Here is a 27813-nt window from a genome sequence, read left to right on the forward strand (position 1 = left end):
CACTGGTAGGGGTGACCAGAGACCCTGGCTGGGAGGTCCTGCCCAGCAAGGAGGAATGGGTCAGGGTTCCATTTAAAGAAGCAGTCTGGTCATGCCTTGGCAAAGCAGCCATACTGTGCTGGGGTGTTGCCTCCTCCCCAGTCTGTTTGGACTCTCCAAAGCTCACAGGCTGGAATACCCGAGTGACCCAAACAGCAAAGGTGGCAGCCTGCCCCTCCTAGTGGTCACTCTGTCCTAGGGAGAAATTTGAACTCTGTCAGCCATAGGATATGAGTTGGGGTGGCTGAAGGTCCTGGATGGGAGGTCCTGCCCAGTGAGGAGGAATGGATCAGGGTCCCGCTTAAAGAAGCAGTCTGGCCACAATTTGGTAAACCAGCTGTGGTATGCTGGGAGATCCCTTTCTTGTCTGGTCAGTTTGTACTCTCCAAAGCCCACAGGTTGGAATGGCTGAGTCATCCAAACAACACAGGTGGTGGCCTGCCCCTCCCCGCAGGCACTCTGTCCCAGGGAGAAATCAGAACTCTTTAGAATATGGGTGAGGGTGGCTGGAGGCCCCGGATGGGAAGTCCAGCCCAGTGAGCAGGAGTGGATCAGGGTCCCACTTAAAGAAGGAGTCTGCCCACATTTTGGTAAAGCAGCTGTGTTGTGCTGGGCGAATCCCTTTCTTGTCTGGTTCATTTGGACCCTCCAAAGCCCACAGGCTGGAACGGCTGAGTCATCCAAACAAAAAAGGTGGCAGCCCATCCCTCCCCCAGGAGCTCTACCCTGTCTCAAGTAGGTGCTACCCTGTTGCTGGTGGCTGGCTGGAATTCCAAGCCAGTTGATCTTATCCTGTGAGGTCCCTTGGAAGTGGGGCCCACAGACTGACGCTGCTCTGCTTCCTGGATTCAGCCCTCTTCCTAAGGGTATGTATGGACCTCTTGTCTTGCTTAAGTTGTAGTCATGTTTGCCAAAGATCCCAGAGTAGATTATGTAAAGCTCCTGGGCCTCTGTGCATGCCTAAGCAGCTGCTCTGCTGTGACTCCACACAGCTCTGTGTGTCAGACCCAAGGCCCTGGTGGAGTGGGTTCATGAGGGGGATCTCCTGATCTGAGGGTTGCAAAAATCTGTGGGAGAAGCATGGTTTCCCTGGGTCACACATTCACTCACGGCTTCTCTTGGCTGGGAGTGGGGGTTCCCTTGGGTCTGTGTTGCTCCTGGGTGGGCTGACATCCTGCCCTGCTTTTCTACATTCTCCGTGGGTTGAACAGTTTCTCTGATCAGTCCTAATGTGAGCACCTGGATGTTTTAGTTGAAGGTGCTGAATTTACTCACCCCTTTTGTCCATCTCCGTGAGTGCCACACCCTGTAGCTGCTTCTAATCGGCCATCGTGGCCCCAACTTCCAATTTTAAAATAAATATTTTAACTTTTATTTTAGGTGCAGGGATACATGTGTAGGTTTGTTATATAGGTAAACTTGTGACTTGGGGGTTTGGTGTACAGATTATTTTGTCACCCGGGTACTAAGGATAGTACCTGATAGTTTGATTTTTTTTCTGAACCTCTCCCTTCTCCCACCTTCCTCCCATGAATAGGCTCCAGTGTCTGTTGTTCCTCTCTTTCTGTCCATGTGTTCTCATTATTTAGCTCCCGCTTCTAAGTGAGAACATGTGGTATTTGGTTTTCTGCGCCTGCATTAGTTTGCTGAGGATAAGGGCCTCCAGTTCCATCCATGTTCCTACAAAGGACATAATCTTGTTCTTTTTTATAGCTGTGTAATATTCCATGGTGTATATGTACCACATTTTCTTTATCCAGTTTACCATTGATTGGCATTTAGGTTTATTCCATGTCTTTGCTATTGTGAACAGTGCTGCAATGAACATACAAATGCATGTGTCTTTCTGGTAGAACTCTTTATATTCCTTTGGGTATATAAACAACCCTAGCAGTACCCAGTAGTGGAAGTGCTAGGTTGAATGGTAGTTCTGTCTTCAGTTCTTTGAGGAATTGCCACACTGTCTTCCACAATGGTTGAACTAATTTACACTCCCACAGCAGTGTATAAAGGTTCCTTTTTCTCCACAACCTCTCCGGCATCTGTTATTATTTGACCTTTTAAAATAGCCATTCTGACTGGTGTGAGATGGTATCTCATTGTGGATTTGATTTGCATTTCTCTAATTATCAGTGATATTGAGCATCTTTTCACATGCTTTTTGGCCACATATATGTCTTCTTTTGAAAAGTATCTGTTCATATCCTTTGCCCACTTCTTAATCGGGTTGTTTTTTGCTTGTACATTTGTTTAAGTTCCTTGTAGATTCTGGATATTAGACCTTTGTCAGATGTATAATTTGCAAATATTTTCTCTCATTCTGTAGGTTTCCTATTTACTCTATTGATAGTTTCTTTTGCTGTGCAGAAACTCTTTAGTTTAATGAGGTCCCATTTGTAAATTTTTGCTTTTGTTGCAATTGCTTTTGGCATTTTCATTATGAAATCTTTGCCAGATTCTGTATCCAAAATGATATATTCTTGGTTTATTCCAGGGTTTTTATAGTTTTAGGTTTTACATTTAGGTCTTTAATCCATCTTGAGTTGATTTTTGTATATGGTATAAGGAAGGGGACCAGTTCCAATCTTTTGTATATTGCTAGCCAGTTATCCCTGCCCCATTTATTGAATAGGGAGTCTTTTCCCCATCGCTTATTTTTGTCAGCTTTGTCAAAGATCAGATAGTTGTAGGTGTATGGCTCTATTTCTGGGCTGCCTATTCTGTTCCATTGGTCTATGTGTCTGTTTTTGTACCAGTACCATACTGTTTTGGTTACTGTAGCCTTGTAGTATGGTTTGAAGTTGGGTAATGTGATTCCTCCAGCTTTGTTCTTTTTGCTTAGGATTGCTTTGGTTATTTGGGCTCTTTTTCAGGTTTTATATAAATTTTAGAATAGTTTTTTCTGTTCTGTGAGGAATGTCATTGGTAGTTTGATAGGAATGGCATTGAATCTATAAATTGCTTTGGGCAGCATGGCCATTTTAACAATATTGATTCTTCCTACCCATGAGCATGGAATGTTCTTCCATTTGTTTGTGTCATCTTTGACTTCTTTGAACGTGTTTTGTAATTCTCATTGTAGAGATCTTTCACCTTCTTGGTTAGCTGTATTCCTAAGTATTTTATTCTTTTTGTGGCAGTCGTGAATGGGATCATGTTCCTGATTTGGCTCTTGGTTTGGGTGCTCTTAGAGTATAGGAATGCTACTGATTTTTGTACATTGATTTGTATCCCCAAACTTTGCTAAAGTTGCTTATCAGCTCAAGGAGCTTTTGGGTGGAGATTCTGGGGTTTTGTAGATATAGAATCATGTCATCTGCAAACAGGGATGGTTTGACTTCCTCTCTTCCTATTTGGATGCCTTTTGTTTCTCTTGCCTGATTGCTTTGGCCAGAACTTCCAATTCTATGTTCAATAGGAGTGGTAAGAGTGGGCATCATTTTCTTCTGCTGGTTTTCAAGGGGAATGCCTTCAGCTTTTGCCCATTTAGTATAATGTTGGCTACGGGTTTGTCATAGATAGCTCTTATTATTTTGAGGTATGTTCCTTTAAGGCTTAGTTTATTGAGGGTTTTTAACATGAAGCAATGTTGAATTTTATTGAAAGCCTTTTCTGCATCGATTGCGATAATCATGTGTTTTGGTCTTTGGTTTGGTTATGTGATGAATCACATTTATTGATGTGTACATGTTGAACCAACCATGAATCCCAGGGATAAAGCCTACTTTGATCATTGTGGATTAGGTTTTTGATGTGCTGCTGGATTCTGTTTGCTAGTATTTTGTTGAGGATTTTTGAATCTATGGGTCATCAAGGATATTGGCCTAAAGTTTCCTTTTGTGTATGTGTGTCTATGTCAGGTTTTGGTATCAGGATGATGCTGGCCTCATAGAATGAGTTAGGGAGGAATCCCTCCTTTTCAAATTTTTGGAATAATTTCAGTAGAAATAGTACCAGCTCTTCTTTGTGCATCTGGTAGAATTCAGCTGTGAATCCTTCTGGTCCTTGGCTTTTTTTGTTGGTAGGCTATTTATTACTGATAATTTCCAAGCTCGTTATTTGTCTGTTCAGGGACTTATTCTTGACTCACTGTTGGGAGGATGCATGTGTCCAGGAATTTATCTATTTATTTTAGATTTTCTAGTTTGTGTACATAAAGGTGTTCATAGTAGTCTCTTACGGTTATTTGTATTTCTGCAAGGTCAGTGATAACATCCTCTTTGTCATTTCTGATTGTGTTTATTTGAATCTTCTCTCTTTTCTTCTTTATTAATCTAGCTAGTGGTCTATCTTATTAATTTTTTCAAGAACAAATTCCTGGATTTGTTAATCTTTTGTATGCTTTTTCATGTCTCTATCTCTTTCAGTTTGCCTCTGATTTTGGTTATTTCTTGTCTTCTGCTAGTTTGGGGTTTGTTTGCTCTTGGTTCTCTAGTTCTTCTAGTTGTGATGTTAGGTTGTTATTTGAGATCTTTCTAGATTTTTGATGTGGGCATTTAGTGCTACAAAATTCCCTCTTAACAATGCCTTAGCTGTGTCCCAGAGATTCTCGTGTGTTGTGTCTTTGTTTTCATTAGTTTAAAATAACCTCTTGATTTCTGCCTGAATTTTATTACTTACCCAAGAGTCATTCAGGAGCAAGTTGTTCAGTTTCCATGTAATTGTATGGTTTTGAGCAATTTTCTTGGCCTCAATTTCTACTTTTATTGTGCTGTGGTTCGAGAGTATAGTTAGTATGATTTAAATTTTTTTTGAGTTTGCTGAGGATTGTTTTATGTCCAACTGAATGGTCAATTTTAGAGTACGTACCATGTGGCAATGAAAAGAATGCATACTCTATTGCCTTTGGTGGAGAGTTTTGTATATGTCTATTAGGTCCATTTGTTCAAGCATTAAGTTCAGGTCTGGAATCTCTTTGTGAATTTTTTGGTTTGATAATCTGTCTAATACTGTCAGTGGGGTTTGAAGTGTCCCATTTTATTGTGTATAAATCTCAGTCTCTTTGTAAGTCTCTAAGAAATTGCTTTATGAATCTGGGCACACCTGTGTTGGGTGCTTACAGAGTTAGGATAGTTAGATCTTCTTGTTTAATTGAACCCTTTACCATTATGTAATGCCCTTCTTTGTCTTTGTTTTGTTTTGAGATGGATCTCACTCTGTCACCCAGGCTGGAGTGCGGTGGCGTGATCTCGGCTCACTGCAAGCTCTGCCTCCCAGGTTCCTGCCATTCTCCTTCCTCAGCCTCCTGAGTATCTGGGACTACAGGGGCCCGCCACCACACTCAGCTAATTTTTCTGTATTTTTAGTAGAGACAGGGTTTCACTGTGTTAGCCAGGGTGGTCTCGAGCTCCTGACCTTGTGATCTGCCCACCTTGGCCTCCCAAAGTGCTGGGATTACAGGTGTGAGCCACCGCGCCAGGCCCCTTCTTTGTCTTTTTTGTTCTTTGTTGGTTTAAAGTCTGCTTTGTCTGAAATTAGAATTGCAACCCCTGCTTTTTTGTGTTTTCCATTTGCTTGGTAGGTTTTTCTCCATCCTTTTATTTTGAGACTATGGGTGTCATTGCACAAGAGTTGGGTCTCTTGAAGACAGCATACTATTGGGTCTAGCTTCTTATCCAGGTTGCCACTCTGTGCCTTTTAACTGGGGCATTTAGCCCATTAACATTCAAGGTAAATCATTGATACGTGTGGTTTGATCCTGTTATCATGTTGTTAGCTGGTTACTATGCAGACTTCTTTGTGTGGTTGCTTTACAGTCACTGGTCCATGTACTTAAGTATTTTTGCAGTGGCTGGTAATGGTCTTTTCTTTCCATATTTAGTGCTTCTTTCAGGATCTCTGGTAAGGCTGGTATGCTGGTAACAAATTCCTTTAGCATTTGTTTGTGTGAAAGGAGTCTTATTTCTTCTTTGCTTATGAAACTATTTTGGCCAGATGTGAAAAAATCTTGGTTATAATTTCTTTGCTTTAAGAATGTTGAATATAGGCACCCAATCTTTTCTGGCTTATAGGGTTCCTGCTGAGAGTTCTGCTGTTAGTCTGATGGGCTTCTATTTGTAGGTGGCCTGTCCTTTTTCTTTAGCTGCCTTTAACATTTTTTCTTTCATTTCAATCTTGGAGAATCTGATGATTATGTGTCTTGGGGATGATCCAATTGTGAAGTAACTTGCAGGGATTCTCTGCATTTCCTGAATTTGAATGTTGGCCTTACCAGCTAGGTTGGGGAAATCTTCATGGATGATATTCTGAAATGTTTTCTAAGTTGCTTCCTTTCTCCCCATTTCTTTCAGGAATGCCAGTGAAGCATAGATTTAGTCTCTATGTAATTCCGTATTTCTTGAAGGTTTTCTTTATTCCTTTTCATTCTTTTTTCTTTATTCTTGTCTGACTGTCACATTTCAGAAAGCCAGTCTTTAAACTTTGAGATTCTTTCCTTAGCTTGGTCTATTCTGCTTTTAATACTAGTGATTGCATTATGAAATTCTTGTAGTGTGTTTTTCGTCTCTATCAAGTTGACTGTATTCTTTTCTATACTGGCTATTTTGTCTGTCAGCTTTTGTATCATTTTATCGTGACTCTTCATTTCCTTGGATTGGGTTTCAATATTCTCCTGAATCTCGATGATCTTGGTTCCTACCCATATTCTGAATTTGATTTCTGTCATTTCTGCCATCTCAGCCTGCTTAAGAACCCTTTCCAGAGAACTATTGCAGTCGTTTGGAAGAAAGAAGGCACTCTGGCTTTTTGAGTTGCCAGAGTTGTTGCACTGGTTCTTTCTAATTTATGTGGGCTGATGTTCCTTCAGTCTTTGAAATTGCTGTACTTTGGATGAACTGGTTTGCTTTTTTCTTCTTTGATGCCCTGGGGGGTTTGATTATGGTATAAAGTGTGTTTTGTTGACTGGCTTCAATTCTAGTCTGCTTCTGGGTCTTGGAGGAGTCCCCTCCAATTCCTACCTCTGTGTCTGCATTTCTTTGTTGGGTATTCTGGTCCACAGGGTTTCCTCAGGTTGAGGATGAAGTTGACCAACAAGACATTGTTGGCCCTAATCGGCTGTCATGTGCTTCTTGGGGAAACACAAGTTTGAATCTTCCTGGAGAGTTCAGGTGGAAGTAGGACTGCTAGGTTGGAAACTCTAGCAGGTGTGGCCTATCTGGCTATGCAGGTGGGGGAGTTGCCAGTCCTGCTATCCAGATGTTTTCAGAACAACAGGAGGCTGCACACCTTGGTAAATTCAGGCAGATGTAGGACCACTGAGCTGGAAGCAGTCAAGCTAGAGTCTTGGGCTCTACTTTTTTATTTTGAAGGGAAGTTTTCCAGGGAGTGTATTCTCCTGGGTTTGGTGATAACTGCAACTCAGTCTTTTTTTTTTTCTTAACACAATATTTCTGCTGACTTCTGAAAAATTTTCACTTGAATGTGTAATGAAGGGGCAGCAGCAGCAACAGTCCTTGGCCCGGAGATGCACCACAGTGCCCAGCAAGTCTTTGGCACTACTTGCCCCACCCTCTTCTTGGTGCCCAGCTCTCTCCCTGGCCCTAGTCCCTGGGTTAGGCCACCCCACCCCTACTTAGCATTGTGCCTGCCCTGGCACCAGCTGGGCATGCTGGGCTACTGCCTGCCCTCTGGGTAAAGGTGGAAGGGGTGGGGGATGTCATTGCATGGCCTGTCCCTGGACACAGTCTCCCCAGGCCTGGCCCTGCCATGTGGAATGGCCTGCAGGGTGGATATGAGTCTGCAAAGTGCTTGGTGGGTGTCTGCATCAAGCAGCAGGGCCACAGTAGCTGCAGCAGAGGCTCAGCTTGGCTCAGGCCGTGTGGTGCGAGTGATGCTAAGAATGTTTGTAGTAAGCACAGAGATGAAATAAACCACAATTGATTTTTGTGCATTGATCTTGTTCCTGCAAACTTGGTGAACTCATTTATTAGTACTAGAAGATTTTTTTGTTAGATTCCCTTGGGATGTTCTATGTAGACAATGATATCATCTGCAAATAGAGACAGTTTTACTTCTTCCTTTCCAATCTATATGCCTTTATCTCAGTTGTATGTTGAATAAGAATGGTGAGAATGTACATCCTTCCCATGTTACTTGTTTTAGGGGGAAAGTATTCATTCTTTCACCATCAGGTATGTTATCTCTAGGCTTTGAGGACGCTTTTTATCACGTTGAGGAAGCACCTGTCTGTTCCTACCTTGCTGAGAGTTTTTCATCATTAACAGATGTTGGATTTTGTCAAATGATTTTTCTGTACCTAATGGTATGAATATACTGTTTTCTTCTTTAGCCTGTTGATATGGTGAGTTACATTGGTTGATTGTTAAATGTTGAAACAACCTTTTGTACTTGGAATAAATCCCGTTTTTTCATGGTGTACAATTATTTTATACACTGTTTTATTACTAATGTTTTGTTGAGGATTTTTGTGTCTAAGTTCATGGCCTTTTGTGTTATTTGTTTATACTGTCTGCCTCTTTGAGTTTGATAACAGGATAATACCTGCCTCAAAAAGTGAGTTAGGAAGTGTTCCCTCTTTTACCTTCAGGAAGATATTAAGCAAAATTGGTACTAATTCTTTTTTAAATATTTGGTAGAATTCTCCAATGAAGCCTTCTGGTCCTTGATTTCTTTATGAGGAGCTTTTTATTTACAAATTTAATATCTTTAATGGTTATTATACTAGTCACATTATCTATCTCATATTGGTTGAGTTTTGGCAGTTTGTGGTTTTTAAGTATTCAGTCCATTTTTTATATGTCATTGAATTTATGACACTAGAGTTATATGTAGTATCCTTTTAGTATTCCTGTTTCATTTCTGATACTGGTTATTTATGTCTTTTTCTCTTTTTTGAGAAAGGTTCCTGCTCTAGTGCCCAGGCTAGATAGAATGAAGTGGCACAATCAGGACTCAAATGATCCTCCTGCCTTAGCCCCCTGAGTAGCTGAGACTATAGGTGTGCACCACCACACCTGGCTAAATTTTTTTGAATTTTAGTAGAGAAGAGATCTCACTATGTTGCCCAGGCTGGTCCCAAATTCCTGAGTTCACACAATCCTCCTGCCTCGGCCTCTCAAAGTGCTGGGATTACAGCACTAGAGATTTATCACTTTTACTGATTTTTTTGAAGAAGTAGCTTATTTTTCTCATTGATTTTTTTCTATTGTTTTAATTTTCAATTTCATTGATTCTGTTCTTATCTTTATATTTCCTTATTTTAAAATATTTAATTGACAAATAAAGATTGTATATATTCAAGGTGTACAATGTGATAATTAAAGATTGTATATATTCAAGGTGTACAATGTGATAATTTGATATACATATGCATCTTGTAATGATTACCACAATTACATAAATTACACATTCATCATCACCCATGCTATACCTCAGATAGCTGGAACTTGTTCATTTCGTAACTGAAAGTTTGTACCTTTTGGCCAATATTTCCTTTATCTCCACTCCCTTAGCCCTTCGTAATCATTGTTCTACTCTCTGCTTCTATGAGTTCAACTTTTTAAAATTCCACATATAAGTGAGATCATACAGTATTTGTCTTTCTGTGTCTGGCTTATTTCACTAATCCTAATGTCTTCCAGTTCACTCATGTTGCTATAAATGGCAGAATTTCCTTATTTTTTAAGACTGAATAATGTTCCATTGTGTTTATATACCACATTGTCTTTATTCATTCATCTATTGATGGACAATTAGTTTGTTTCTGTGTCTTGGCTATCATGAATAATCCTGCAATGAAATGGGGATGCCAATACCTCTTTAAGATACTGATTTCTTTTCCTTTGGATATATACCCAGAAGTGAAATTGCTGGATCATGTAGTAGTTCTATTTTATTTTTTTGAGGATCCTCTGTACTGTTTTCCATAATGGCTATACCAATTTACATTCCCACAAACAGTGTACAAAGGTTCCCTTTTCTACATACCCTCACCAACACTTATAATCTCATGTCTTTTTGAGAATAGCCATCCTAACAAGTGTGAGGTGATATCTCATTGTGGTTTTAATTTGCATTTCTCTGAGGACTGGTAATATTGAGTGACTTTATATACTCATTGACCATTTGCAATAAAAAATGTCTATTCTTGTCCTTTGCCCATTTTTCAATCAGGTTATATGTGTTTTGCTATTGAGTTGTGTGAGTTCTTCATACATTTTGGATATCAATTTCTTATCCGGTATATGGTTTGCACATTTTCTTCCCATTCCATGGGTTGTCTTTTCATTTGTGTTGATTGTGCTCTTTGCTCTGCAGAAGATTTTTCATTTGATGTAGTCCCCCTTGTTTATGTATTTTTGAGATAGAGTCTCATTTACTCTGTTGCCCAGGCTGCAGTGTTTCTTTTTGCTTTTGTTGCCTGTGCTTTTTGTGTCATATACAAAAAAATCATTGCCAAGATCAATTTCAAGGAATCTTCCCTATGTTTTCTTCTAGGAGTTTTATGGTTTCAGATCTTACATTTAAGTCTTTAATTCATTTCAAGTTAATTTTTGTATATGGTGTAAGTCAAGGATTCAATTTCATTCTGTCAATGTGGTGTATCATATTTATTGATTTGTATATGTTGTAACATCCTTACATCCCAGGGATAAATCCAGTTTGGTCATGGTATATGATCCACTCAGTGTGCTGTTGAATTTGGTTTGCTCGCATTTTGTTGAAGATTATTGCATCTATGTTCAGGGATACTGGCCTGTGATTTTCTTTTCTTATAGTGTACTTATCTGGCTTTGGTATCAGGGTAATGCTGTAATGAAATGAGTTTGAAAATATTCCCATCTCTTCAATTTTTTTGGACAAGTTTGAGAAGGACTGGTATTAATTCTTATTTAACTGTTTGGTAGAATTAACCTGTGAAGACATCTAGTCTTGGGCTTTTTGAGGTTGGGAGGTTAGGAGGTTTGTGAATACTGATCCAATCTTCTTATTTGTTATTGGTTTGTTCAGATTGTCTATTTCTTCATAATTCATGCTTTGTAGGTTGTATTTCTAGGAATTTATTCATCTTTTCTGAGTTACACAGTTTGAGGCATAGTTGTTTATAGTAGTCTATTATAGTTATTTGTATTTCTGTGGTATCAGTTGTAATGTCTCCCCTTTCACTTACACTTTCACTTATTTTAGTCCTTTTTTTTTTAGGTTTTGAAATTTCTTTTTTTTAAAAATTTTATTATTATTATACTTTAAGTTTTAGGGTACACGTGCACAACGTGCAGGTTTGTTACATATGTATACATGTGCCGTGTTGGTGTGCTGCACCCATTAACTTGCCATTTAGCATTAGGTATATCTCCTAATGCTATCCCTCCCCTCTCCCCCCACCCCACAACAGTCCCCAGAGTGTGATGTTCCCCTTCCTGTGTCCATGTGTTCTCATTGTTCAATTCCCACCTATGAGTGAGAACATGCGGTGTTTGGTTTTATGTCCTTGTGATAATTTGCTGAGAATGATGGTTTCCAGTTTCATCCATGTCCCTACAAAGGACATGAACTCATCATTTTTATGGCTGCATAGTATTCCATGGTGTATATATGCCACAGTTCCTTAATCCAGTCTATCATTGTTGGACATTTGGGTTGGTTCCAAGTCTTTGCTATTGTGAATAGTGCCACTATAAACATACGTGTGCACGTGTCTTTATAGCAGCATGATTTATAATCCTTTGGGTATGTACCCAGTAATGGGATGGCTGGGTCAAATGGTATTTCTAGTTCTAGATCCCTGAGGAATCGCCATACTGACTTCCACAATGGTTGAACTAGTTTACAGTCCCACCAACAGTGTAAAAGTGTTCCTATTTCTCCACATCCTCTCCAGCACCTGTTCTTTCCTGACTTTTTAATGATTGCCATTCTAACTGGTGTGAGATGGTATCTCATTGTGGTTTTGATTTGCATTTCTCTGATGGCCAGTGATGATGAGCATTTTTTCATGTGTTTTTTGGCTGCATAAATGTCTTCTTTTGAGAAGTGTCTGTTCATGTCCTTTGCCCACTTTTTGATGGGGTTGTTTGTTTTTTTCTTGTAAATTTGTTTGAGTTCATTGTAGATTCTGGATATTAGCCCTTTGTCAGATGACTAGGTTGCAAAAATTTTCTCCCATTTTGTAGGTTGCCTGTTCACTCTGATGGTAGTTTCTTTTGCTGTGCAGAAGCTCATTAGTTTAACTAGATCCCATTTGTCAATTTTGGCTTTTGTGGCCATTGCTTTTGTGTTTTAGTCATGAAGTCCTTGCCCATGCCTATGTCCTGAATGGTATTGCCTAGGTTTTCTTCTAGGGTTTTTATGGTTTTAGGTCTAATGTTTAAGTCTTTAATCCATCTTGAATTAATTTTTGTATAAGGTGTAAGGAAGGGATCCAGTTTCAGCTTTCTACATATGGCTAGCGAGTTTTCCCAGCACCATTTATTAAATAGGGAATCCTTTCCCCATTGCTTGTTTTTCTCAGGTTTGTCAAAGATCAGATAGTTGTAGATATGTGGCATTATTTCTGAGGGCTCTGTTCTGTTCCATTGGTCTATATCTCTGTTTTGGTACCAGTACCATGCTGTTTTGGTTACTGTAGCCTTGTAGTATAGTTTGAAGTCAGGTAGCATCTATTTGATTCTTCTCTCTTTTCTTCTTTATGAGTCTTGCTAGTGGTCTATCAATTTTGTTGATCTTTTCAAAAAACCAGCTCCTGGATTCATTAACTTTTTGAAGGGTTTTTTGTGTCTCTATTTCCTTCAGGTCTGCTCTGATTTTAGTTATTTCTTGCCTTCTGCTAGCTTTTGAATGTGTTTGCTCTTGCTTTTCTAGTTCTTTTAATTGTGATGTTAGGGTGTCAATTTTAGATCTTTCCTACTTTCTCTTGTGGGCATTTAGTGCTATAAATTTCCCTCTACACACTCCTTTGAATGTGTCCCAGAGATTCTGGTATGATGTGTCTTTGTTCTCGTTGGTTTCAAAGAACATCTTTATTTCTGCCTTCATTTCATTATTTACCCAGTAGTCATTCAGGAGCAGGTTGTTCAGTTTCCATGTAGTTGAGCGGTTTTGAGTGAGTTTCTTAATCCCGAGTTCTAGTTTGATTGCACTGTGGTCTGAGAGACAGTTTGTTATAATTTCTATTCTTTTACATTTGCTGAGGAGTGCTTTACTTACAACTATGTGGTCAATTTTGGAGTAGGTGTGGTGTATGGCTGTAAAGAATGTATATTCTGTTGATTTGGGGTGGAGAGTTCTGTAGATGTCTATTAGGTCCGCTTGGTGCAGAGCTGAGTTCAATTCCTGGGTATCCTTGTTAACTTTCTGTCTCGTTGATCTGTCTAATGTTGCAGTGGGGTGTTAAAGTCTCCCATTATTATTGTGTGGGAGTCTAAGTCTCTTTTTAGGTCACTAAGAACTTGTTTTATGAATCTGGGTGCTCCTGTATTGGGTGAAATATATTTAGGATAGTTAGCTCTTCTTGTTGAATGGATCCCTTTACCATTATGTAATGGCCTTCTTTGTCTCTTTTGATCTTTGTTGGTTTAAAGTCTGTTTTATCAGAGACTAGGATTGCAACCCCTGCCTTTTTTTGTTTTCCATTTGCTTGGTAGATCTTCCTCCATCCCTTTATTTTGAGCCTATGTGTGTCTCTGCACGTGAGATGGGTTTCCTGAATACAGCACACTGATGGGTCTTGACTCTTTATCCAATTTGCCAGTCTGTGTCTTTTAATTGGAGCATTTAGCCAATTTACATTTAAAGTTAATATTGTTATGTGTGAATTTGATCCTGTCATTATGATGTTAGCTGGTTATTTTGCTCATTAGTTGATGCAGTTTCTTTCTAGCATTGATGGTCGTTAGAATTTGGCATGTGTTTGCAGTGGCTGGTACTGGTTGTTCCTTTCCATGTTTAGTGCTTCCTTCAGGAGCTCTTTTAGGGCAGGCCTGGTGGTGACAAAATCTCTCAGCATTTGCTTGTCTGTAAAGTATTTTATTTCTCCTTCACTTATGAAGCTTAGTTTGGCTGGATATGAGATTCTGGGTTGAAAATTCTTTCCTTTAAGAATGTTGATTATTGGTCCCCACTCTCTTCTGGCTTGTAGAGTTTCTGCCAAGAGATCCTCTGTTAGTCTGATGGGCTTCCCCTTGTGGGTAACCAGACCTTTCTCTCTGGCTGCCCTTAACATTTTTTCCTTCATTTCAACTTTGGTGAATCTGACAATTATGTGTCTTGGAGTTGCTCCTCTCGAGGAGTATCTTTGTGGTGTTCTCTGTATTTCCTGAATTTGAATGTTGGCCTGCCTTGCTAGATGGGGGAAGGTCTCCTGGATAATATCCTGCAGAGTGTTTTCCAACTTGGTTCCATTCTCCCTGTCACTTTCAGGTACACCAATCAGATGTAGATTTGGTCTTTTCACATAATCCCATATTTCTTGGAGGTTTTGTTCGTTTCTTTTTATTCTTTTTTCTCTAAACTTCTCTTCACGCTTCATTTCATTCATTTTGTCTTCCATCGCTGATACCCTTTCTTCCAGTTGATCGCATTGGCTACTGAGGCTTCTGCATTCATCACGTAGCTCTCGTGCCTTGGTTTTCAGCTCCATCAGGTCCTTTAAGGACTTCTCTGCATTGTTTATTCTAGTTATCCATTCGTCTAATTTTTTTTCAAATGTTTTAACTTCTTTGCCATTGTTTCGAATTTCCTCCTGTAGCTTGGAGTAGTTTGATCGTCTGAAGCCTTCTTCTCTCAACTTGTCAAAGTCATTCTCCATCCAGCTTTGTTCCGTTGCTGGTGAGGAGCTGCGTTCCTTTGGAGGAGGAGAGGCGCTCTGATTTTTAGAGTTTCCAGTTTTTCTGCTCTGTTTTTTTCCCATCTTTGTGGTTTTATCTACCTTTGGTCTTTGATGATGGTGAAGTACTGATGGGTTTTTGGTGTGGATGTCCTTTCTGTTTGTTAGCTTTCCTTCTAACAGACAGGACCCTCAGCTGCAGGTCTGTTGGAGTTTGCTAGAGGTGCACTCCAGACCCTGTTTGTTTAGTCCTTTCATTCTTAGTTTGTCTAGCTCATTGTCAATTTTGTCAATGAAACTCAGTTTCACTGATCTTTTTCTATTATCTTTCTAGTCTCTATGTCATTTATTTCTGCTCAATCTTTATTATTTCCCTCCTTTTTCTGATTTTGGGCTTAGTTTCTTCTTTTTTAAATTTTTATTATTTATAGAGATAGGTCTTGTCCTGTCACTCAGGCTGGAGTGCAGTGACCCAATCATATCTCACTGCAGTCTCGAACTCTTGGGCTCAAGCATTCCTCCCACCTCAGCCTCCCAAGTAACTGGGACTACAGGTGTGAGTCACTGTGCCTGAATAATTTTTAAATTACTTTTTGTAGAGATGGGGTCTTACTATGTTGCCCAGGTTAGTCTTGAATTCCTGGCCTCAAGTAATCCTCCCACCTCAGCCTCCTGAGTGGCTGGGACTACAGGTGTGAGCCACCATGCGCAGACAGTTTGTTTTTCTTTTTCTAGTCCTTTGAGGTGTGAAGTTAAGTTTTTTATTTGAGATCTTTCTTTTTTCTTAATGTAGGCATACATTGCAATAAACTCCCCTCTTAGCACTGTTTTTGCTGCATCCCTTAAGTTTTGGTATGTGGTGTTTCCATTTTAATTTGTCTCAAGAAACTTTTTGATTTTCTTTTTGATTTTTTTTCTTTGATCTATGGGTTGTTCCAGAGTGTGTTGGTTCATTTTCATGTATTTGTGAGTTTTCCAAAATTCTTCCTATTATTGTTTTCTAGTCTTATACCATTGTGGACAGAAAAGATAGTTGCTAACACCAAGTATCTTATTATTTCCTTCTTTGTGCATGCTTTGGGTTTATTTAGCTCTTCTTTTTTAGTTTCTTGAAGTAGAAATTTAGACTATTTATTTGAGACCTTTTAAATTTTTTAACGTGTTTAGTGCTGTAAATTTTCCTGTCAGCACTATTTTAGCGGCCTCACTCATATCTTGATAGACTACTACATTTTTGTTTTCATTCACTTGTATATTTTGCTTTATTTCTTCCAAAACTTCATCTTTGATCCATGCATTGTTTTGATCAATCACGGATTGATTCTTTTATTATTATGTCATGTCCCTCTTTGTCTCTAGAAGTGTGCTGTTTAATTTCCAAGTGTTTTCCTGTTGTCGTGGTCAAAGAACAGATCTCGTAATCTTATATAATTTCAATTTTTAAAAATATGTTGGGGTGTTATTTTTGGCCCAGGATATTGTCAATTTTGGTAAATATTCCATGGGCACTTAAAAAATGTGAATTCTGCTGTTGTCAGGTGGAATGTTCTATAAATGTCAATTGCTCCTGATGATTGATTGTGCTGTTCAGTTCTTCTATATCCTTGCTGTTTCTCTGTCTAATAGTTCTATAAGTTACCGAGAGTAGGGTGTGGAAGTTCCGTATACACTTGTGAATTTGTCTATTTTTCCTTTCATGTTTATCACTTTTTGCATCATGTATTTTTATGCTCTATTGTTTGGTGCATACACCTTTAGGATCATATGTATTCCTCATGGATTAATTCTTTTATTATTATGTCATGTCTCTCTTTGTCTCTAGTAATTTTCTTTGCTCCAAAGCCTGCTTTATATTATATTCACATAGTCACTCCTCCTTTTTTTCAATTATTATTAAGGCTTGCATAGTATATCGTGTCCCAGCCTTTTACTTTTAACTTACCTATGCTGCTATATCTAAAGTGAGTTTCTTGTAGCAGCATGTTCTTAAATAATGGTTATTTTATTCACTTTGCCAATTTTTGCTTTTTAATTGGAATATTTCAACAATTTACATTTAAGGTAATTATTGATATGTTAGGGCATTCTAAGTCTGCCATTTTATTACCTATTTTCTGTTTGTTCCCTCCATTTCTTGTACCCTGGTTTCTCTTTTCTTGTCTTCCTGTGGGTTACTTGGACATTTTTAATAATTTCATCTTGATTTATTTATAGTGTTTTTAGTATGTCGCTTGGTATGTTTATCTTAGTCATCGTTCTATGTATAAGTATGTTCTTAGCATGGATACATATAACTTATCACAGTCTACTGGTATTGATATTTTACCAGTCCAAATGAAGTGTAGAAATTTTATTTCCATTTAGGTCCTTTTATCCTCCTCACTTTTCTTTCTCTTTTTCTTTTTCTTTTTTTTTTTTTTTTTTTTTGAGACGGAGTCGCGCTCTGTCGCCCAAGCTGGAGTGCAGTGGCACGAGCTCGGCTCACTGCAAGCTCTGCCTCCTGGGTTCACGCCATTCTCCTGCCTCAGCCTCCCGAGTAGCTGGGACTACAGGCGCCTGCCACCACATCCAGCTAATTTTTTGTATTTTTTTAAAATTTTAGTAGAGACAGGGTTTCACCGTGTTAGCCAGGATAGTCTCGATCTCCTGACCTCGTGATCCGCCCTCCTCGGCCTCCCAAAGTGCTGGGATTACAGGCGTGAGCCACCGCACTCAGCCCCTCCTCACTTTTCAATAATAATAGTCCTAAGTATTTTCTCTTTGTACATTAAATACCACATCAGATGGTGCTAAACTTTTTGCTTCAAGTGTTAAGTGTAATTTTAGAAGCTCATGAAAAGAAGAATGGTCTACAATATTTACCCATGTGTGTGTGTATATATATATGTGTGTATATATATACACACACATATATATGTATATGTATGTGTATATATACACACATATATGTATATATACACACACACATATATGTGTATATATATATACACATATATATACACATATATATATACACATATATATATACACACACACACACACATATATATATATATATTTTTTTTTTTTTTGCGACAAAGTCTCGCTCTGTCACCCAGGCTGGAATGCAGTGAGGTGATCTCAGCTCACTGAAACCTCCACCTCCTGGGTTCAAGCCATTCTCCTGCCTCAGCCTCCCAAGTATCTGGGATTATAGGCACCCGCCACCACACCCAACTCATTTTTGTGCTTTTAGTAGAGATAGGGTTTCACCATGTTGGCCAGGCACGTCTCAAACTCCTGACCTCAAGTGATCAGCCCGCCTCCGCCTCCCAAAGTGCTGGGATTACAGGCATGAGCCACTGCACCCGGCCTACCCTTATTTTTAGTAATTCCATTCTTATTTTTTTTTCTGAAGTTCCAAGTCTTCTATTATAATTTCCTTTCTGTTCAGATAACTTCTTTAGCTATTTTTACAGGTAGGCTTGCTTGCAATAAATTCTTTTAACTTTCCTTTGTTGAGGAACGTCTTTATTTTCTCTTTATTCATAAAGGATATTTTCATAAGATTTAGAATTCACAGTTAACATTTATTTTCTTTCAGCCCTTGAAAAATATTGTGCCATTTCCTTCTGGTCTCCATGGATTCGTATGTCAAATATGCAGTCATTCATGTTGATATTCATCTATCTATAAGTAATGTGTCATTTCTCTCTGGAAGCATTCAAGATTTGTTTGTTTGTTTTTAGTTTTCAGGAATGTAAGTATTATGTGTCTTTGCATGGATTTCTTTAGGTTTATCCTATGTCAGATTTGAGAAGTTTTCAGCCATTATTTCTTTGAACACTTTTTTCATATCCATTCTTTTTTTCCTCTTCTTTTGGGACTTTGATGATATGAATGCTATCCCTTTTGTTATTATTCTACAGATTCCTGAGACACTGTTCATTTTTTTTCAGTCTATTTTCTCTCTGTTTAGATTGTGTTTTCATCTCTCCTCAAGTTTACTGATTTTTATCCTCTATCACCTCCATTCTACTATTAAGCCCATCCAGCAAATTTTTTATTTCAGTTATTTTAGTTTTCAGTTATATAATTTTCATTTGATTATTTTGATAAGGTCTGTGTCTCTGATGAAATCATTTATTTAAAAAAATGTCAAGGGATCATTAATTTCTTGTTGAAACATTTTTATGATGGCTACTATAAAATCTTTGTCAGATAATTCTAACATCTGATTCATCTCAGTGTTGGCATATGTTGATTGTGTTTTCTTCTTTTTTTTTTTTTTTTTTTTTGAGACGGAGTCTCGCTCTGTCGCCCAGGCTGGAGTGCAGTGGCGGGATCTCGGCTCACTGCAAGCTCCGCCTCCCGGGTTCACGCCATTCTCCTGCCTCAGCCTCCCAAGTAGCTGGGACTACAGGCGCCCGCCACCACGCCCGGCTAATTTTTTGTATTTTTAGTAGAGACGGGGTTTCACCGTTTTAGCCGGGATGGTCTCGATCTCCTGACCTCGTGATCCGCCCGCCTCGGCCTCCCAAAGTGCGTGTTTTCTTCTTAAAGCTGTGATTTTCCTGGTTCTTGCTATGGCAAATGAGATTTTTACTGTGTATCTAAACATTTAAATATATTTTAGTAGATTTTAAGTCCTATTTAATTATCTTTTTCTTCTTCTTCTTCTTCTTCTTCTTCTTCTTCTTCTTTCTTTCTTTCTTTCTTTCTTTCTTTTCTTCTTCTTCTCCTCTTCTTCTTCTTCTTTCTTTCTTTCTTTTCTCCTCCTCCTCCTCCTCCTCCTCCTCCTCCTCCTCCTCCTCCTCCTCCTCCTCCTCTTCCTCTTCTTCCTCTTCTTCTTCTTCTTCTTCTTCTTCTTCTTCTTCTTCTTCTTCTTCTTCTTCTTCTTCTTCTTCTTCTTCTTCTTCTTCTTCTTCTTCTTCTTCTTCTTCTTCTTCTTCTTCTTCTTCTTCCTTTCTCCTTCGAATAGTCCCTCTGTTGAAGTGTAGTGTGAGGAGCAGATTAGTGTGTATGTTTATTTTCCAGCTAGGCCCCACTAACATCACTGGCAAAAATAGAGGATTGACTCACATTGCCTTTTTAAAGATGGGTGTGGTGGAAGTTCAGCTCCCCACTGGGTCTCCCTGATACCTTGGGTCTTGGCGATACCTCTGGGTGAAAGTGGGACACCAACAGACACTGCCTCCCTTGAGTGGAGGTGTAAGCTGTGCTCCCTGCTGGGTAGGGGAGGGACTCCCTGACACTGGTAGGGGAGATGAAAAGTTAAGTGGCTAGCCCTACCTCACACTGTTTTATTCAGTCTCGTTGATGCTGGGCAGGGTGGAGGATCAGTTCCTTGGGTCCCCACTGACACCAAGAGGTGGGGAGACAAGACAGCCTACCAGCTCTCCTTCATGCCATCTTGTTCAGCCTTTTTGCTGCTGGGTAGTTGGGGAGGTTTAGTTCCCCACTGGGCCCTACTGAGACCAGGCATGGGGGGAAAGTGGAGCACTTGCACTTACTAGACCTAATTTGCATTGCTTTGTTCAGTCTCATTAATGCTGGGTGAAGGTGGAGGCTCAGGGTACTGCTGAACCCTGCTAACATGGCTACCTTGGTCCTGGCAGGGGATCTCTGGGTACTGCCTGCTTTCACAGAGCAGAATATGGTAGATCAGCTCTCTGCTCCGCCCCTCTAAACACCACCCAGTGGAAGAATTGGAGCACAGCCTACTTCTGCCATATGGGGGATGGAAGGTTAGCATCCCTGTGGGCCCTGCTGACACTGGCACCATCGAGCAGAGTAATCAGAGAAGCACTGCTGCCCACTTCCACATGTGCAGGCTGGGCAGGATGGAAAGCAGCTTCCTGCTTGGCCCCGCTGAAATTACGTGTGTGTGCGTGCTGTGGAGGAGGGAAGGTTGTGAGATTTTGCTGTGGGTATTTGGCTGGAGTACCACACATAGTGCCACAAAGGTTTTCTCTAGTTTGGCCACCCCTTTCCCAGGCTTTTGGTTAGGGGGAAGAGGCTTTCCTTGTAGTTTTTAAAAAATCTGTGCCTATTGGCAGTTCCAGGTTGGAGGCTCCTGTAGCCCTATCTATGTCCAGAATATATGTGAGGCAATAAGCAAACCCAGAGAACTCAGTGCCACATCATTTCTCAAGTCCCAAAGTTCTTTGGAAGTCACCTTTCTCCCCACTGTTCAGTCTTCCTATGCTTTGTAATGTCCAGGGGTTTTTAAAGTTGTAAGAAAAGGGACCTGGGAGGAAACAAAGCTGCTCCATCTTGGTCACAAGCAGAAGTCATAATTCATAGCATTTGAATACTTCCAGGAGCACTGGAGATCATCTACAGAATTTATGGACTTTTATGTGATTTGGTACAACTCTTTAGTCTTAAAGGTAGGAAACATGTAGTTTGGGCACAGTGGCTCACGCCTGTAATCCCAGCACTTTGGGAGGCCAAGGTAGGCGGATTATTTGAAGTCAGGGGTTTGAGACCAGCCTGGCCAACATGATGAAACACCATCTCTACTAAAAATACAAAAATTAATCTAGCATGGTGGCAGGCACCTGTAATTCCAGCTACTTGGGAGACTGAGGCAGGAGGATCACTTGAACCTGGGAGGCAGAGGTTGCAGTGAGCTGAGATTGTGCCACTGCACTCCAGCCTAGGAGACAGAGTGAGACTGTGTCAAAAAAAAAAAAAAAAAAAAAAGAAAGGAAAAGAGAGAAACCTATAAATACCGATTTACAGTTATTCTCTGTTCCCAGCTCCAGCCAACTATTGATCTGCTTTCTGCCTCTATAAATGTATTCTTTTTGGATGTTTCATGTAAATGGAATCACACAACATGTGGTTTCTTGTGTCTGACTTATTTTGCTCAGCAGTTGCTTTGAGGTTCACTCATCACACAGCATGTGTTAGTGATTCACTCCTTTTTATTGCCCAATAGCATTCCATTGTATGGGTATACATTTTGTCTATTTATTTGCCATCTGATAGATATTTATGTTTCTGCTTTTTGGCTTTTATGAATGTGTTAGTTGGTTCTCATGCTGCTATAAAGATACTACCTGAGACTGGGTAATTTATAAACAGAAGACATTTAACTAACTAACAGTTCCACATGTCTAGGGAGGCCTCAGGAAACTTGCAATCCTGGTGGAAGAGGGGAACCAAGGCAAGTCTTACCTGGTGGCAGGCAGAGAGAGTACAAGGGGGGAACTGCCAAACACTTTTAAACCCATCAAATCTTGTGAGAACTCACTCACTATCATGAGAACTGCAGGGGGAAACCACCCCCATGATCCAATCACCTCCCACCAGGTCCCTCCCTCCCCACATTTGAGGATTACAATTTGCGATGAGATTTGGGTGGGGACACAGAACCAAACCATGTCAATGAATAATGTTGTTGTAAGCATGTGCAATTTTTTTTACGGACATATGTTTTCATTTCTCTTGGATATATCCCTAGAAATGGAATTGCTAGGTCAGATGAACCCTCTATATTTAACATTTTGAGAAAATGCTAAATTGTTTTCCAAAGCAGCTATACCATTTTTTATCCCTACCAGCAATGCATGAGGGTTTAATTTCTCCACACCCTTCCTAACACTTGCTGTTGTGTGTCTCATTTATTACAGCCCTTTTGGTATGTGTGAAATGGCATCTCATTGTGGCTTTAATTTGCAATTGCATTTCCCTAATGACTAATGATGTTGAGCATCTTTTCATACTTTATTAGCCTTTCATGTATCTTCTTTGGTGAAATGTCTGTTAATATTTTTTGCTTATTATTTTTAATTTTTATTTTGTAATTGTAAATTGACAAACTATTGTTGTACACAAAGTTTTGTTATAATGTATAAATACAATGTGGAATAATCAAATCAAGCTAATTAACATATCCATCACCTCAAGTACTTACATTTTGTGTTAAAAAATTTGAAATTTACTCTCTTAGCAATTTTGAAATGTACAACATATTATTATTTACTATATTCACCAAGCTATGCAATATACCTCAAAGAAATCAAAAATTATTCCTCCATGTAATTGAGGCTTTATGGCTATTTTTTTTCTTTTAACTTTTGTTTTAGGTTCTGGGGTTCATGTGCAGGTTTGTTATGTAGGTAAACTCGTGTCATCACAGGGGTTTGGTGTACAGATTGTTTCCTCACCCAGGTACTAAGCATAGTACCCGATAAGTATTTTTTTCTGAACTTTTCCCTCCTCCCACCCTCCACCTTCAAGTAGGCCCCAGTGTCTGTTGTTCCCCTCTTTGTGTCCATGTGTTTTTATTATTTAGCTTCCACTTATAAGTGAGAGCATGCATCTATCTTTGATTGTTTTTTTACAATTGAGTTATACAAGCACTCTCTAAATTCTGGTACCAGCTTTTTATCATAAATGTGTTTTGCAAATATTTCTCCCAGTGTTTTTCCTGTCCTTCCATTTTCTTAATGGTATCTTTTGAAGTGCAAGGTTTTCAATTTTGATGAGGTCTATTTTATCAATTTTTTCATTTATAAATCACATTTTTAAAAGAAATCTGTCTGGCCCAAAGTCCTAAAGATTTACTTCTATGTTTACTTCTAAAAGTTTAATTGTTTCAACTCTTACATTTAAGTCTATGATTTGTTTTCAGTTAATTTTTGTGCATGGTGTGAGGTGAGGGTCCAAGGTCATTTTTTTTGCATACACATAGTTATATTATGAAATGTTTTTCTAGAAGTTAATATGATAATAGCTTAATATTTTATTTTATGAACATACTATAAACAGTGAGGTCCTGGTAAATATTTGACAATCATCTCTTTTAAAAAAGCCCTGATTTGTAGTATTTGCCAATTTCCCTGTGTAAATATTCCAACAGTGTTTAATTTAAAGCTACTACATGACATAACATATGGAGTTGGGAAGAAGTCACACCATTGATTCTTATGAATTGCTACAAGCTGGCTCTAGCATATCACTAAATCAATTTAACCAATCTCCTGGGTTTTTGTTTTATTTTTGTTTGCTTCTTGTTTTTCTCTCTTTTACCCTCAATATATACAAAAGATGCAAAAAAGAAACAAAAAGCAGAAACAGTCTATTTTATTCATCGCTATAAATGAATGCTGTATCTCTAGGGAGTTTCTAGTTCTCTCTCCTTAGGAACACAGCTGTGGGCAACATCCTTGAAGCCTTTCTGTGGTCACATTTAGTAGTGTCTATCACATTTACTTTCAGACAACCCCCTCGCCAGCCTTGCTTCCTTTTAATGATAAAGAAAATCAAGTTTTGACAAATAGAGTATAAAGCAGCTTGAACTTCTGCAATTTTGCAAAAACACATATACAAAATTTAAATTATAGAGGTGACTTCCCCCCCTTTTTTTTCTCCCTCTCAAGAACCAAGTATAGAATTAAGCAAATGCTGAGGAGGAAAATAGTTGTCTTGACAGGCAGTGGAAGTCAAGTGTGAATGGCCACAATGTGTCAGCTTCCTGAAAGTGTCTTGTACATAAGAGTACTGCAAAGAAATCACTGGAGTGTGACACTGTTTCAGATAAATATATCTGATCTTCCTTTCGAGGAAATCTTGTAAGAAGTGCAAATAAAACTAGGGGGCCACTTTGGATCAGATGCTTTTTTTTTTTTTTTGAGGGAGGGTCTCACTCTGTCACCCACACTGGAGTGCAGTGGTGTGATCATGGCGCACTGCAGCCTCGACCTCCAGGGCTCAAACAATCCTCCCATCTCAGCCTCCTGAATAGCTGGGACTACAGGTGTGCACCACCATGAGTGACTCATTTTTGTATTTTTTGTAGAGACAGGGTTTTGCCATGTTGCCCAAGTTGGTCTCAAACTCTTGGGCTCTCAAAATGCTGAGATGATAGGCATGAGCCCCCATGCCTGGCCAATAGATATTTTTAATAAGTAGTTATTAGATGCCTATCTGTAGCTCTGTGGAGCCCACATAGCTTTATCCACATTGTTACAAATGGGAAGCAGCAGAGGCCTGGGATCTGGGAGAGCAGTGAGCCATGGGGGATTTGGAGGAGAAAGGGCACTAAGTTGTATGGGGATAAGAGGGTTTTGAGCAACTGTCACTATTTGGCAAGACCTTTATTCAATATAATTACCATTATTTAAAGTACCCCTTTCTATTACTATGAAAAGTGAGGCTCAGAGAGATGTGAAAGTGCTTACACAGGGACTTCTGGCTTACAAATACCTGCTTTTTAAACTCTGTGCTCAGAGTGTGCATTGGGAGTCACCTCATGAAGTGGAGACTCAAGCTCAGTGACTCATCACAGCCTCCTGCTCTGGCCCCATGTCCCAGTCAGCCCACTCACTGCCCCATGCTCCCCCTCTCACTCCTGCTCCCCTGCACATGACGGGAGTCATACTAACCTTTGTGCAGGTCCCAGAGAGAGTCATGCTTCTGGCCTTCATTCACTCCACACCCTTACCCCGGAATGTTCATCCCACTGTGTTCTTCTAAGAAGCAACTGCTCATCTTTTTCTTTTCTCTGTCTCCTTCTCACTCTCTTTCCCCAACTTTCCCCCCATTAGACTTCTTCTCCTTCTTGCCCTTTCTCCTTCCTTTCTTTCTTTTCACAAAGAATAGTTTTTCTTATGATGTGGCCATTTTAAAAGTTGGATAGGCCAGCCTGGTGGCTCATGCCTGTAATCCCAGCACTTTGGGAGGCCAAGGCAGGAGTATCCCTTGAGGCCAGGAGTTCAAGACCAGCCTGGGCAACAAAGCAAGATCCTGTCTCTACAAAGGATAAAAATAAAGTATTAGCTGGGTGTAGTGACATGGGTCTGTGGTCCCAGCTACTGAGGAGGTTGAGGCGGGTGGATCTCTTGGGTCCAGGAGTTCAAGACCGCAGTGAACTGTGGTCACCACTGCACTCCAGCCTGGATGACAGAGTGAGATCCTGCTCTAAAAAAATATATGTATTTTTTTTTTCAGTTAGATAGCACTGAAAGCATACAGAAGAAAATTAACATCACTCATTTGCGATGACTTTATACAATGTCAGTTTAAACGGGAACTACATTTCCCAGAACTCACTGTCAGTAGGGTTCCAGGTTAGCACAGGCCCGGGGATCTATATAACTAACTTGAGATTCACGAGAGAATGGAGCAACAGCTGTAATGTAACGCTGTGAATGTGCCAGCAGGTTCCGGGGCCCTGTGGTGGCTTGTGCACACTGCAGTCTATCTGCAGGCTCACTTTGGCGTAGGACGGCACCTGGACCCACTGGATTCCGGCTCCCATGCTCCCCTCTGGAAGTACAAGTCCTGGGCCAGGCGCATGTGAACCTCCATGGTGAATGCAGCAGCTTCCTCTGCAGATTCCTAGCGAGGTAGTGGCTGGATGCCGCGAGAGACAGATGAACCTCCTGTTTGTCCTCAAGGCGGGTAGTTTCCGTGTAGGATCTCGCTTGTCCTTACAGGTGCCATCTGATCCTTGCTCACATCCTCAGCTGGCGTTCCTTCCTGACTGCTGGAGTGGCTGACCTGAAGAGACTTCCCACTCAACACTGCAGGCAGAGGGGACAGCCCGGAGAGACTTGCCCGCCAGCTCTCACTTTGCATATAATCTCACTCCTAAATAAATCCCTCAGCTCAGGGGTCCCCAAACTTTCTCTGCGTGTGGTGCCCTTAATTTCTCAGTACTCTCTTCTTAGTGCACCTGGGCCAAAAGAAATACCAAACAGTTCCATTAATTAAGTGGTTAGATCCAAATGACGTAGGTATGTTTGTAATAGCTGTTTGAAAAGAAAATATACATACATTGAAAGAAAAAATAATATTTGATTTTCCTCTTAAATAAGCAGTGCCGATGGGATATGTGCCTGTTGGACAAGGCCCAACTTCTCCAACCTTGGAATCAAGTTGGACACTGTTGCCCTCATTTTCTGTCCCACACCATTTTACCTCAAAGCAATCATTGAAAACCCAGCTTTGGAAAGATATGACAACTGTGAAAGGAATATACTGCAATCTGATGTTCGAACTGTGAACTTCCTCAATCGAGTAGTTCCCAAGGTGTCCAAGAAGGGTCAGCTATCAATGTATATCCTCTGAAAACTGGAAATATTCCATGGCACCCCTGTGAACTCACTGTGGCCCCTACAGTTTGAGAACCATAGCCTTGTCTCATATTGCTTCTGATACACAGAGTGCCATGCTGATTTGGGTGTATTCTTTTCCTGTCTTTGTACTCTCCACATATATTATAAAATGTGGACCAGAAGAATTCTATATTTCCCTTTTTTTAATTTGACAATGTTATGAGTGTATTCCCATGTCAATAAAAATTCTTTTAAAAATTATTTATATCTGAATCATATACCAAATTTACCAATATCGAATTTAATCTTCCTCCAGTCCTTGAATTTTCCAGCTGTATTTCATTTTGCTATTATCTGTCAATATTCCTTAAAATGGATTTCTAGAAGCAGTATTACCAAATGAACTTCTTAAACAATCTTGATAACTATTGTTAAATTGCTTTTCAGAAATAATGCACTAATTTATATTCCAATAAAAAATACATGGCAGTGGCTATTTTGCCACATTCTTAACTGCACTGGGTATTTCCATTAATAAAATAAAATCTCCTCACCATTTTTAACAGGCAGAAGAAATATTTCATTGTAATTGACATTTTGTTTTATTACTAGTATGATTAGTATTTTTATTTTAATGGGTATTGCATTTATTCCATGACTGTTTGTATCTTTGTTTATTTAAATAAGTTATTGGCCTGTAATCCCAGCATGTTGGGAGGCTGAAGCGGGTGGATTACCTGAGGTTAGGAGTTCAAGACCAGCCTGGTCAACATGGTGAAACGCCATCTCTACTAAAAGTACAAAAATTAGCCGGGTATGGTGGCGTGCACCTGTAATCTCAGCTACTCGGGAGGCTGAGATGTGCGAATCTCTTGAACCCGGGAGGCAGAGGCTGCAGTGAGCCGAGATCACACCACTGCACACCAACTTGGGCAACGGAGT

General features: G+C 39.8%; 1 long non-coding RNA gene across 1 annotated transcript, besides 3 other annotated features; it reads left to right on the forward strand.

The window, feature by feature from the left end:
* Window positions 1–516: 516 nt before the first annotated feature.
* Window positions 517–27132, forward strand: LOC105377067 (uncharacterized). The gene is made up of 2 exons (XR_940805.3): window positions 517–905; window positions 25975–27132. It is a non-coding gene; the product is annotated as an uncharacterized LOC105377067 (long non-coding RNA).
* Window positions 7178–7679: an enhancer, noted in NCBI's record as "H3K4me1 hESC enhancer chr3:46211627-46212128 (GRCh37/hg19 assembly coordinates)". NCBI's record gives its function as "activates a minimal SCP1, AML or CMV promoter by ChIP-STARR-seq in naive H9 embryonic stem cells {active_cell/tissue: H9 hESC(naive)}" and the evidence as "EXISTENCE:reporter gene assay evidence [ECO:0000049][PMID:30033119]".
* Window positions 7680–8179: an enhancer, noted in NCBI's record as "H3K4me1 hESC enhancer chr3:46212129-46212628 (GRCh37/hg19 assembly coordinates)". NCBI's record gives its function as "activates a minimal SCP1, AML or CMV promoter by ChIP-STARR-seq in naive H9 embryonic stem cells {active_cell/tissue: H9 hESC(naive)}" and the evidence as "EXISTENCE:reporter gene assay evidence [ECO:0000049][PMID:30033119]".
* Window positions 24582–24721: an enhancer, noted in NCBI's record as "active region_19794". NCBI's record gives its function as "activates an Ori minimal core promoter by ATAC-STARR-seq in GM12878 lymphoblastoid cells {active_cell/tissue: GM12878}" and the evidence as "EXISTENCE:reporter gene assay evidence [ECO:0000049][PMID:35858748]".
* Window positions 27133–27813: the final 681 nt, after the last annotated feature.

The sequence above is a fragment of the Homo sapiens genome, chromosome 3 (assembly GCF_000001405.40).
Source record: "Homo sapiens chromosome 3, GRCh38.p14 Primary Assembly".
Classification (NCBI taxonomy): domain Eukaryota; kingdom Metazoa; phylum Chordata; class Mammalia; order Primates; family Hominidae; genus Homo; species Homo sapiens.